Source organism: Homo sapiens, chromosome 3 (assembly GCF_000001405.40).
Source record: "Homo sapiens chromosome 3, GRCh38.p14 Primary Assembly".
NCBI lineage: Eukaryota > Metazoa > Chordata > Mammalia > Primates > Hominidae > Homo > Homo sapiens.
In genome coordinates, this window is record NC_000003.12 from 180,559,264 (window position 1) to 180,573,464 (window position 14,201).

Here is a 14,201-nt window from a genome sequence, read left to right on the forward strand (position 1 = left end):
CAGGACTCGAACACAGCTCTGGACCAAGCAGACCTAATAGACATCTACAGAACCTGCCACCCCAAATCAACAGAATATACATTCTTCTCAGCACCACATCACACTTATTCTAAAATTGACCACATAATTGGAAGTAAAGCACTCCTCAACAAATTTAAAAGAACAGAAATCATAACAAACTGTCTCTCAGACCACAGTGCAATCAAATTACAACTCAAGATTAAGAAACTCTCAAAATCGCGCAACTACATAGAAACTGAACAAACTGCTCCTGAATGACTACTGGGTAAATGATGAAATGAAGGCAGAAATTAAAATGTTCTTTGAAACCAATAAGAACAAAGACACAATGTACCAGAAACTCTGGGACACATTTAAAGCAGTGTGTAGAGGGAAATTTATAGCACTAAATGCCCACAAGAGAAAGCAGGAAAGATCTAAAATTGACACTCTAACATCACAATTAAAAGAACTAGAGATACAAGAGCAAGCAAATTCAAAAGCTAGCAGAAGACAAGAAATCACTAAGATCAAAGCAGAACTGAAGGAGCTAGAGATACAAAAAACTCTTGAAAAAATCAACAAATCCAAGAGTTGGTTTTTGAAAAGATCAACAAAATAGATAGAACCCTAGCCAGACTAATAAAGAAGAAAAGAGGAATTAACATTGAAGATGGCCGAACAGGAACAGCTCCAGTCTACAGCTCCCAGTGTGAGCGACACAGAAGACAGGTGATTTCTGCATTTCCAACTGAGGTACCTGGTTCATCTCACTGGGACTGGTTGGACAGTGAGTGCAGCCCATGGAGTGTGAGCCAAAGCAGAGCTAGGCGTCGCCTCACCCAGGAAGTGCAAGAGGTCAGGGAATTCCCTTTCCTAGCCAAGGGAAGCCATGACAGACGGTACTTGGAAAATCGGGACACTCTTGCCCTAATACCACGTTTTTCCAATGGTCTTAGCAAATGGCACACCAGGAGATTATATCCCGCACATGGCTCAGTGGGTCCCATGCCCACTGAGCCCTGCTCACTACCAGCACAGCAGTCCGAGATTGAACTGCAAGGCAGCAGCAAGGCTAGGGGAAAGGCATCCACCATTGCTAAAGCTTGACTAGGTAAACAAAGCGCCAGGAAGCTCGAACTGGGTGGAGCTCACTGCAGCTCAAGGAGGCCTGCCTGCCTCTGTAGACTCCACCTCTGGGGTCAGGGCATAGCTGAACAAAAGGCAGCAGAAACTTCTGCAGACTTAAACATCCCTGTCTGAGAGCTTTGAAGAGAGCAGTGGTTCTCCTAGCATGGAGTTTGAGATCTGAGAACTGCCTCAGATCTGACAGACTGCCTCCTCAAGTGGGTCTCTGACCCCCAAGTAGCCTAACTGGGAGACACCTCCCAGTAGGGGCCAACTGACACCTCATACAGCCAGGTGCCCCTCTGAGACGAAGCTTCCAGAGGAAGGATCAGGCAGCAACATTTGCTGTTTTGCAATATTTGCTGTTCTGCAGCCTCCACTGGTGACACCCAGGGAAACAGGGTCTGGAGTGGACCTCCAGCAAACTCAAACAGACCTGCAACTGAGGGTCCTGTCTGTTAGAAGGAAAACTAACAAACAGAAAGGAATACCATCAACATCAACAAAAAGGACACCCACACCAAAACCCCATATGTAGGTCACCATCATCAAAGATCAAAGGTAGATAAAACCACAAAGATGGGGAGAAACCAGAGCAGAAAAGCTGAAAATTCTAAAAACCAGAGTGCCTCTTCTCTTCCAAAGGATCGCAGCTCCTCGCCAGCCATGGAACAAAGCGGGATGGAAAATGACTTTGAGAAGTTGACAGAAGTAGGCTTCAGAAGATTGGTAATAACAAACATCTCTGAGCTAAAGGAGGATGTTCACACCCATTGCAAGGAAGCTAAAAACCTTGAAAAAAGATTAGAGGAATGGCTAACTAGAATAAACAGCATAGAGAAGACCTTAAATGATTTGATGGAGCTGAAAACCATGGTACGAGAACTACGTGACACATGCAGAAGCTTCAGTAGCCAATTCGATCAAGTGGAAAGAAGGGCATCAGTGATTGAAGATCAAATGAATGAAATGAAGCGAGAGAAGAAGATTAGAGAAAAAAGAGTGAAAAGAAACAAACAAAGCCTCCAAGAAATATGGGAATATGTGAAAAGACCAAATCTATGTTTGATTGGTGTACCTGAAAGTGACAAGGAGAATGGAACCAAGTTGGAAAACACTCTTCAGGATATTATCCAGGAGAACTTCCCCAACCTAGCAAGGTAGGCCAACATTCAAATTCAGGAAATACAGAGAACGCCACAAAGATAATCCTTGTGAAGAGCAACCTCAAGACACAATTGTCAGACTCACCAAGGTTGAAATGAAGGAAAAAATGTTAAGGGCAGCCAGAGAGAAAGGTCGGGTTACCCACAAAGGGAAGCCCATCAGACTAACAGCTGATCTCTCAGCAGAAACTCTACAAGCCAGAAGGAGTGAGGGCCAATACTCAACATTCTTAAAGAAAAGAATTTTCAACCCAAAATTTCATATCCAGCCAAACTAAGCTTCATAAGTGAAGGAGAAATAAAATCCTTTACAGACAAGCAAATGCTGAGAGATTTTGTAACCATGAGGCCTGCCTTACAAGAGCTTCTGAAGGAAGCACTAAACACGTAAAGGAACAACCGGTACCAGCCACTGCAAAAACATGCCAAATTGTAAAGACCATCAATGCTAGGAAGAAAATGCATCAACTAACAAGCAAAATAACCAGCAAACATCATCATGACAGGATGAAATTCACACATAACAATATTAACTTTAAATGTAAATGGGCTAAATGCCCCAATTAAAAGACACAGACTGGCAAATTGTATAAAGAGTCAAGACCCATCAGTGTGCTGTATTCAGGAGACCCATCTCACATGCAGAGACACACATAGGCTCAAAATAAAGCGACGGAGGAAGATCTACCAAGCAAATGGAAAACAAAAAATAAGCAGGGGTTGCAATCCCAGTCTCAGATAAAACAGACGTTAAACCAACAAAGATCAAAAGAGACGAAGAAGGCCATTACATAATGGTAAAGGGATCAATTCAACAAGAAGAGCTAACTATTCTACATATGCACCCAATACGGGAGCACCCAGATTCAAAAGCAAGTCCTTAGAGACCTACAAAGAGACTTAGACCCCATATAATAATAATGGGAGACTTTAACACCCCACTGTCAACATTACACAGATCAACGAGACAGAAAGTTAACAAGGATATCCAGGACTTGAACTCAGCTCTGCACCAAGCAGACCTCATAGACATCTACAGAACTCTCCACCCCAAATCAAGAGAATATACATTCTTCTCAGCACCACATAGTATTTATTCCAAAACTGACCACATAGTTGGAAGTAAAGGACTCCTCGGCAAATGTAAAAGAACAGAAATCTTAACAGTCTCTCAGACCACAGTGCAATCAAATTAGAAGTCAGGATTAAGAAACTCACTCAAAACCACACAACTACATGGAAGCTGAACAACCTGCTCCTGAATGACTACTGGGTAAATAGTGAAATGAAGGCAGAAATAAAGATGTTCTTTGAAACCAATGAGAACAAAGACACAACATACCAGAATCTCTGGGACACAATTAAAGCACTGGGTAGAGGGAAATTTATAGCACTCAATGCCCACAAGAAAACATCTAAAATCGACACCCTAACATCAAAATTAAAAGAACTAGAGGAGCAAGAGCAAACACATTCAAAAGCTAGCAGAAGGCAAGAAATAACTAAGATCAGAGCAGAACTGAAGGAGACAGAGACACCTGCACATTGTGCACATGTACCCTAAAACTTAAAGTATAAAAAAAAAAAAAGAATTAAGGTTTATTCTTAAAACAAGAAAAAGAACATGTGGCAAAAAAAGCAACTATTGAACATATCTTAGTCCAAGATAAACACATTTAAAAATGCAGAAGAAATATGAAATTAGACAATAAAAGTGAGACATTGCTTGGGAAACTACTTAGCCATTGATCAGAGAGACTCTTTTCTTGATAGGTCAGAAATTAACCAATCAATATTTGTATAAGGCAGTGAAGGAAAGATTTACAGCTTGTATAAACAGACATCAGTCAGAATGGTTTTTCAATAATTTTTGTTTTCTATTCAAAACAATATTGACACATAATCAAATATCACTCACACTGTTTGCATGGCCCTTTCTTGTGAGAGTCCTTTTCTTTTATTGTTTCAAATTTCCCAACAGTGGCAACCCCTGACCCACATCTAATTACAGGAGAGATGGACAAAGAAGGGCTTGTTCACAGTTAGTGCTTCACTGGAGCTGAGATGATCTTCCTCACTCTTTCGCACAGAACGTGATTGTTAGTGACAATATACAAATGCTACTTTTCCGGTTTTATTTGGGGCAGTGAAATGTGCATTACACTTTCCTCCAATAGAAATGATTCAGCAGCAAGCAGAAAATCTTATGATGTGGGGCAAGATGTGCAGAATCTGAAGAACGCTTCATGTTCTCGTTACTTCCCGTGTTTAATGTTTATATTTCTTAAGAGAAAAACACCCCAAACCTTGTGTGCAGTAGCTCCATGTCCATTTCTTTTCCCAGATGAAGGATTATCCCTTGACAGGCCAATGAAACTTGGCCTCAGAAACAAAATATTCCAAGGCTTCCTTGGCATGACGCAAAGGGCTGAGATTAAGAAAGAGCATACATATTCACAAAAGAAAAATGTGATATGCCGGATCTATGAAAAAGAGCTGGGTAAAATTATAATAAATGGTAAAATATTCCTGAGATCCTGTGATACTAAAGTTATTCACTTTTCTTTCATTTAATAATAATTCATAATAATCTATTATATATAAGGTACTGTATTAATATTACGTTGGTTCAAAAGTAATTGTGGGTTTTGCCATTACTTTTAATTGGCATTTAATGGCATTTGCCATTACTTTTAATAGGTGTTTAATATTGGCAATATCTTAATTGGCATTAATATTACATTGGTGCAAAAGTAATTGTGGGTTTTGCCATTACTTTTAATGCCATTGCGGGTCTTGCCATTACTTTTAATTGGCATTTAATGGCATTTGCTAGTACTTTTAAAGGCAAATCCCACAATTACTTTTGCACCAACCTAATATAAGTAACTAATATTTATTGAGCGTTTACTGTGTGTGAAGCACTACACTATATATTTTACACACATTATATCAAAGATATTATGAATAATAATTATAGGTATTATTATTATTATTATCCCCATCTTACAGAAGAAAAATAGGAAGCTAAAGAGGTTAAATAACTTGTCATATGTGGCAGTGCTGGGATTTATTTTTTTCTATTATACCACAAGACCCACCTAAAAACATTTCAAGATTGAAGGAATACAGATATTGAGAGTGCCAAACAAAGCATAAATCAATACTTTGTTAAGGTAAATATAAATCATTTTTTAGTTAGCCATCTAAATTTCATTTGAGGTCAAAAGCATAAATATTAAAGTACTTTTGCTGTTGACAGTAATGTTTCCCAGTCTCATCGGTAGCCCCTGCCAACAGCCAACGTCATGATAAATTTTACAGGGGGTAACAGGAAAACTATCATTGTTTTGGTCAGTGTGGAAATTTTCCTGCTGGCTCTTCAGTTGCAGCCTTTGACAGTGAAGTTACCTCTCAAGTCTAAAAGGCCTAAAGTCTGTAAAATACCCCAAACTGGGATTTTTCCTGTGTTTGACAAACAATAGCTAGGAGTTGCAGCTACTCAGTTCTATTTTAACTTCTGTGGTAGTGAACTTAACTGTGATCATTTCATAAAAACATTTGATTATTGATTTACTTATACAATAAACTCGTACTGAGTACTTATTCATGTAATCGACATGACAGGGTATTTTGTTCATTTCTTTAAATATAGTCATATATAACCAAAGAAAATATAACCAATAGTAGTTTGCATATTTACCTTGGGCAACTATAGCATGTTTAGGGCCATTTCTATGACTCAGTTCACATATGCTCTAAGGAAGACATGTGAAGAGTATCTGTAACTATTCCCAGGTCCTCTGGATACCTCAGACATTACTAAAGAGGGTTAAATGCCTTTTTCACTATGTTTAACCCTAGTCCCATGTGCATGCTTCGTATAGTTTGTGTTAAAAGAATAATAATAAATCTGTTGGATAAATGAGCTTTATATCATTTCAAACTTTTATAGGACACCTTTAATAAAAGAACAGTATTCTGTGGATCAGAGGTTCTGATTCTACTACTGACAATATGCCAACCCCACCATCTGTCTATTTAAACAAGCCATAGTAACTGACTGCTTCCATGAGAGTCAGTGGAACTGAATGGATGGTAAGAGTGTTAACGGATAGTACCTGATGTTCGTTAGTATAGCCCCAGTGACTTTCAGCTCATTTCTGAAAATAGAATGAACAAATAAACCAGGCCTTTCACCAGATAGCCCATGATGAAGAAGTAGGCTTTTAGAGACAATGCTGGGAAGTGTTGGTGAATGGTCCAACCCCTGCAGACCCAGGAACTATGGAGAAGATTAAAAAAAACTCTGGGACCCTGCTTCAGAATGGGTTCAGAAGTTCCAGCAGGGATGACAGAGTCCAGGGACTAGATGGCTCCATCTAATGAGCAGACTGAGAGATAAAACTGACTTTGGTCAGCAAAAGAAAGTACAATAATCACAATGTACCTGTGATCCTGGGAGAATAAAGATAGATGGGCCAGATGGAGGCTTCCAAAAGAAGTAAATAGTTAAGGCCCCCCGCTTCATGAGCAGTTGAAGTATTCTTAGAGGGAGTCTGACAGCAGTGCACTTCATGGACCTGTGCAAGCAAATAAAGTCTTAGTCTGGGCTTGGGAGGAAAATGCCAGACTTTAGAGGCATAACTACAAATAGCACACAAGGTCAGGGCAGGACACAGCAAGGATAGACTAATGTTGAGTCTGATAGTCACGAAATTTCCCAAGAAGAGCTCTTAAAATCACCCTGCTGTTCACTCCTTATACTAGTCCTCAGAGTCTGTGACAGCCTTTTGCTCAGAGAAAATCCATTTATTTAATTCTATTTTTAACACTTTCCTTCAACTCCTAAGCTATCTATAGCCAATATTTTCAAATGGTTCTACATATGACTCCTTTGAATAAGAATCAATGAACAAAATGTAAAATGGTGACAAGATCACTTAAGCCTTACCTTAGCAGTCTAGTGATGGCACAGATCCCAAGATCACCTGGCTCCCTCCCCTCATTTTACATGCAAAACACTAAGGAACTGGGAGGTTGAATGACTTCTTTGACATAGCACAACTGGTTAACATTTGAACTAGAATCTATGTCAGGAACTCATGCCTAGTACGTACTTTCTGTTTCCCTGCACAGTGATTCCCCCATTTTGCTCTCCTTACTTACTATTTCCTTTGTTGCTCAAGACTTCATGAAACAATATTCTTATGAGAGTGTACTTCCCAAATAGCTTGCTTACTAGTTCTCTCTTAATGAAATCAATGTCTTACTTGTTGGACTTCTGAATCTTGCTTGTTATTGCTAAAAACAAAACAAAACACAAATGTAATGTCCAATGGATTTATACATTTATAAGCCTATATGACTCAAAAATTGCCAAATATGATTTATGTGTGATTGACACTATTAATGACCAATGACATTTCAAAAATCTTTAAGTGACCTTATCAATAAGGGATATGAAATTTGATAGGATACAGAAAACTCAAGAAATTCAAATTAAATGAAAGGCAGAGATGTAAAAATGCAGTGAAAATGATCCAAGTAGGCATTCCAGCTCAGCCACTAATTAATTCTGCGACCTCTGTCAACTCACTTAACTTCTCTATGGCCTAGATTACATACCTGTCAAAAACAATTTTTTAACAAGTTGAAATTGTTGAATTGAATAGCCTAAAAAATTCCTGAATAAATGAAGCCTCCAGAGCTCCATATAGACTGTACTCCAATTATTAGCAATAATAAGGTCTAAGATATAAGCATGGCTTATGGACAGAAAAGTCTGTGTGATAACAGCTAACTTAAAGAACAATAACCGGCCGGGCGCGGTGGCTCACGCCTGTAATCCCAGCACTTTGGGAGGCCGAGACGGGCGGATCACGAGGTCAGGAGATCGAGACCATCCTGGCTAACACGGTGAAACCCCGTCTCTACTAAAAATACAAAAATTAGCCAGGCATGGTGGCGCGCGCCTGTAGTCCCAGCTACACGGGAGGCTGAGGCAGGAGAATGGCATGAACCCGGGAGGCGGAGCTTGCAGTGAGTCGAGATCGCGCCACTGCACTCCAGCCTGGGCGACAGAGCGAAACTCCGTCTCAAAAAAAAAAAAAAAAAAAAGAACAATAACCATATGCCACATTGTTGAAGAGCTATATGTAAACTCATACAATAACTGCCACCCAAACTAAATGAGGTAAGCACCATTGTTTTCATCCCCACTTTCCAGATGAGTATACTGAGTCACAGACAGGTTAGTAACTTGTTAATGTTACACATATAGTAAATAGCAGAGCTAGGATTTGAACCCAGTCTCACTCCAGAGCCATGCCCCTCTGGTGATGGGTAACCTGACAGATTTAGGTAGCTGGTCATGGCAGAGATTAAGAGACCCTGATGGTCTTTTGAGGTAAAGTGGATAATAAGTTCTGACAACAGCATCTTTCCTAAGGCTGGTTTCTCAGTTTATAGTAGTAAGTTGCCAATATTCACCCAGGTGCTTAAGCTAAAAATCAAAGAATCATTATTGATGTTTGCCTTTCTTTCACCCCATAGCCCATTAGCAGGTCTTATTAGGTTTGCCATCAAAATAAATCCAGAATCCAACCATTTCTCACCACTCTACTACTACCACTTAGTGCATGTCCATCTTCATCATCACCAGGAATATTGCAATTGCCTCCCTATTGGCTTTCCTGCTTTTCTACTTACCCTTCTATAGTCTCATCTCCTTATAGCATATGAGTAATCATTTTTAAAACATGGGGTAGATCACATCACCCCTCCCCCTACTCAAAATCTTCAGTGACTTCCCATCAAATTTTGAATAAAATACTACATGATCTAGCCTGACTACCTCTCTCATCTCATCCTTACCCACTCTCCCTAACTTACTCCACTAGCTTTCTGGCTGTTCTTCAAATATGTGAACTCACCCCCACCTCAGGTCCCGTGAACTGGCATTTCTATTTGCCTAGAATGTTCTTCCCAAGGACATTTATACATTTGACACCTTCACATCATTCAGACCCCTGACTAAATGTCTCTTCCACAAAGAGCAATTCCTGACTACCCTCTCTAAAACAACTCAGCCCTTCAGTCACAATCCCCACACCTCAGACTTCATTTCTCTTCATAGCATTTGCAGTTACCTGAAATTACATTCAAAATGTATTTGATAATAACCTTGAGGATACAGGCCTAGGGTACCTTTTTAACTGCTTTACCTTCAGTGCTTGGACAGTGGCAGCTATAATAGTAAATGCTCAATTAACCAAGTGAATTAATTCCTCCGAGCTCCATCATTTTTTGATACCATGATATTCACAGGACCTGACCCTGTCAGATTCTGAATAGACTTCACCACTCATCTATCTTAGGGCAGACTACTTGGAATTGGTGGCCCATAACAGCACCTTTCTTAAGGAGGTAAATGCTCCACCTGCAGTAGCACTCCTCTCTCGTTTTCTCTTTTCCTGGTATGGCGTGAGGAGGCTTTGCTGTTTTCTCTTTCCTTTGAGGTAGACACATTTTTTCATTTCTCATTATTCAGTTTGTTTTTGTCATGGAATATATTTTGCTATCTAAATAAAGCTTCCTGAAGTCTTTGAACTTCTGTGGTGATGTTCTGTATTCTTTCCTACCAAAATATAACTGCTATATATCTGTTAGATGAGAGTTAACTCATTAGCATTAAACACTAAGATAATTACTGCATTAAAATCTCCTGCCATGTGGAGATGTAGAAATGAAAGCTGCCCCCTGCTTCCTCTGCTCATCACAACCTCTGGAAACTTTTCTAGGCTTCCCTGAGAATTTTTGTTAAGTAACAAACACAACCTGTGCAGCAGTCTTTTATTCTCTATTCATCATTAAAAGTGAGAAGTTGCTGGCTAGGACTGAAGTTTGTTAGCTCAGATGGAAACTTTGGAATAATTACTGATATCGTGTATTGTTAAAACCTGTGCTAAATTAGGTGGCGTGCATACATAATGTATGGAAAGGTAAGGCTGCTGCTTCCACAAACCCGACTTCTTCATAAAGAAAAATCAAATAGATTAAACACAGCTAACAGAGAGAAGTTGAAAAAGAAGCCCTTATTTCCAGTGATCATTCAGGAAAGGGCCTTAGAAGATTCCGTTCACATGCTAAAAGCATCCATTCCTCACTTAGACATCTACAGAAATAAGGAAAATTTAGTGAGTTAAAGGACAATATACTGGATGTAACCCATTTTTCTTTTTATTAAATATCCCACTGCAACATCTAGGATTTGACATCCATATGTACAGGCAATAATAAAACTAAAATTTTCTACACTGGCTGATATCTCAGTTCAACCACAACAGTTAGCTCTCAATTTCCAAAACAGTATGAAAAGCAATAGTCTTTTTATTTGCTAACCAGAACTGTGAATTTAATCCTCTAGAAATAGATTTGAAGTTGTGCTCTCTTGCTTACCTTCTACTGTGATTAGATCTATATATTTTAAACTGTATTTGGAGGATAGAGTAAAATTTCTGTGACTCTGTCATTAAAATAAGTAACACAAAGGTAAAATATGATCACAATGAGCCAAGGAATTAAAGTGAGATACATAGTAATTCATGCAAAGGGCAAGATAGTTTCTCTGCTGTTAGCTTCAAAGGTTGTAGGTAATAAATTAAAAACTATAAGCAAATTTAAAGAATTAAAAGAAAAGCAAATAACTCTTGAGACTGATTTAGGTAGGTAATTTATCACTTCTTTATATCTCTCCCAGGAGATTAACTAGAGAAACTGTGGATATTGTATCAATGAGTGACATTCAAAATATTTTACAACGAACATGGCACCAGCACCAATCTAATACAGCAGACTCCAGCCCGAATGAGGAAGTAGGTCCCCGAGTGCCTCTTTTGCAGCAGGCATCAACCATTTAGTTGCTGATTATGGGGGGCTCTGGTGGGTTCTGGGAAAGGGTCTAGGGCAGCCAAGGCAGAGGGAAGACTAGGGAGGACCCACTCAGAGATTTTGCTGCAGAAACTCTTTACCAACGTAATGAAAGATTTTCAGTATTTTTAACACTTGGAAGAACCATACAGTGCATTACCCCTGGTGCCGTCATGAGCTTTGAGGAACTGAGGAAGGAGGAAAGGAAGAGAAAGGAGGAGCAATGAACATATCGTTTCCTCTAGAATAATTTACCTTTCACTTCTCTTCCCTTAGTGAGATCCTACTCATCTTATGGATCTCAATTCACATGTCATATATGAAGTCAAATTCCTCACTACCAACAGAAACCTCTGCCCTACTTCTCATTCCCCTCTCTCTGTAAGTATACATGTATGTGTGTGGTCATTTGCTTACTCTCTCTTTTTCACACTAGACTCTAAGGCCCTGAGCACAGGGACCTTCTCTTTTTGCTCAACATTTTCTTCCTAGCAACTAGAAAAATATTCGATGCCAGCACTTTGGGAGGTTGAGGTGGGCGGATCACGAGGACAGGAGTTCAAGACCAGCCTGACCAACATAGTGAAACCCCGTCTCTATTAAAAATACAAAAAGAAATTAGCTGGGTGTGGTGGCATGCACCTGTAATCCCAGCTATTCAGGAGGCTGAGGCAGGAGAATCACTTGAACCCAGGAGGCAGAGGTTGCAGCGAGCCAAGATCATGCCACTGCACTCCAGCCTGGGTGACAGAGCAAGACTCCGTCTCAAAAAAAAAAAGAAAGAAAGAAAGAAAAAAAAATATGTGATGCACAACAAGAATTCTTAATAAACGAATGAATGGAAAGCTTAGTTTGGTTTTTTAAATTTACATGCTACATAAGGCAAAATAAAAGATCAATTAAACTGACTTCGTTATTATTAGTCCACTCACAGTAAGGGAGAAAGTTCTGCAAGTAAAAAAAAGATAATAATAAAAATATCTAGCATTTATTGAGTTTTCCTATAGGTTAATCACTGTGCTAAGTGTTTCAAATACTGTCTGTCAAACAGCAGAGGCTGAACTCTTAATCTCTACCTATTTTTCTTCTCATGTTTAATCCATTTTATGTGGGTAAGCTGGCAGATATTTTGTGCTTCTGTACAGGATTGGATTAGGTATGCATAAGAACCAAAGTAATGCATTATAAGAAAAGAGATAACTTAAGAAAAACTGCGTCAGACTTTTTCAGGTTATCTATTCCATGAGCAGATGGTATACTTCTGAGGAAATATCAGGATATATTAAAGAAAACGTTTAGGCAACTGATGTTTATGTGGGTGCCGATTTCTGGCTACAGCAGATGCCTGTTGCTTCCTGACATCTGCCATATTCCACTCTAAGTACCAAAAAAACATACAGCTGACAAAGTTGCATAGATAATGGCTTTGCATATCAATAAGTTGTGCTAGCTAGTCCTACAAGGCATTATCTAACCAGGAACTCAAAAGCTGAAGTTGATCTCTCAGATACCGTATAACAATAGAAAGAACACAGACATTGGAATTAAACAAGCCTGAGCTCACTATCTTGGGCCTCCCATTTACATGCTAGGTAATTTTGAAAAATATTTTTAACCTCACAGAACTTAAGTTTCTTTATTGGTAAAATAATTTAGTAATGTTTAACCTGCTGGTTGCCACAAGATTCAAATACACATAAGTGCCTGAAAAATCCTAGGCACTTAATAAATGCTAGCTAAATGTCTAAACTACACCAAAATTTGATCTTGTAGAAATGTGTGTTGATGGTCTGATGAAACAGAATAAAATAAATGTTAAATCTGGAGGTTTTGAGTGTAGGACTGGGCCTATGAGCGGCACAGGCTTGAAACCGAAAGAGGAATAGAAAGAGCTGGCATCTATTCTTGGGTCGAGATATCCACAGACATAAAGGCAATCTCACTTTGCAGCACTCCCTTGGAAAACGGCTCAGAGGAGATGAACAGTAGAGAGAGAAGTGGGGCTGCCAAGAGAAAAGCTGAAAAGGGAATCGTAGAGGATGGGCTCTGAGGCTAGTTTGACTACTGCTTCTTCTGTGGTATAAAACTTCAAGTGACAAATTGTAGTGTTATAATTAAGGCTCACAGGAGAAAGCGGATTAACTGAGACAATGGCCCATTGCGTGGTAAAACCAAAGGAATTCTCTAAGAGGCCTCTAGTCAGAAAGGATGGAAGCTCCCCTTAGAGGTCAACCCTCAGAGAAAGTATGGGAGCTCAAGTAGATTTCCTCCCCACACCAAACCCCCAGGCTCATATGGCCGGTAACCAGAGGTCTGGGAGCATCTACAGGAAGGCAGCAAGTCCCTACTTCTGCTAGATGGACAAAGTCTGAGGTTACACCTCCTGAAGCCAGGAGGAAAGTTCATTTTCTTCTTGTCTTCTAATTGCCCAGGAAAAAACTCTAAGGAAATTCAGATCACTGAGTTAACGCCTCTGCTAAAATCTCTGCTTGGTTCAGAACCATATTGTTTGCTGCAACTGATTAATTGTATATGCAGTTAAGTTTTCCCTTTTAGGAATTAGCATACCATGTCTAAAAAAAAACCCTTAATTAATTGTGCCCCACACCAATTGATTATTATTGGGTTCACCGTCTTCATCCATCCCAATCATTAGACACTTATAAATAAGAGTTTTGCTTAATACTATGGGGATCATATGTCTAAGATCTGTTAAGAAAATGTGACGGTTAATTTTATCTGTTAACTTGCTTAGGCCATGGTACCCAGATTTGGTGAAACACCACTCTAGATGTTGCTGCGAAGGTATTTTTTTAGACAAGATTAACATTTAAATGAGTCAAGCAGATTACCCTCCATAATGTGAGTGTACCTCATCCAATCATTTAAAGGCCTCAAGAGGAAAAGAAGACTCATATCTCACAAGGAAGAGGGAACTCGGCCTCCCTATTGCCTTTGGAGTTGAGTTGAAACATC

The 14,201-nt window shown here is 39.4% G+C and overlaps 1 long non-coding RNA gene across 5 annotated transcripts in view; it reads right to left on the bottom strand.

Annotated features, from left to right (window-relative positions):
* TTC14-DT (TTC14 divergent transcript) overlaps positions 1-14,201 on the bottom strand; it is a 121,249-nt gene that overhangs the window by 78,399 nt on the left and 28,649 nt on the right. For 3 of the 5 annotated variants that reach the window (NR_183702.1, NR_183704.1, NR_183703.1), the window contains 3 exons: positions 7,464-7,598; positions 6,745-6,877; positions 4,148-4,722 (listed from right to left, as the gene is read on the bottom strand). The exons of 1 other annotated variant lie outside the window; for it this stretch is intronic. This is a non-coding gene — a long non-coding RNA (TTC14 divergent transcript). Of the gene's footprint in view, positions 1-4,147; positions 4,723-6,744; positions 6,878-7,463; positions 7,599-14,201 lie in introns of those variants that run through there. One more of the 5 variants, NR_183701.1, reaches the window with a different exon arrangement.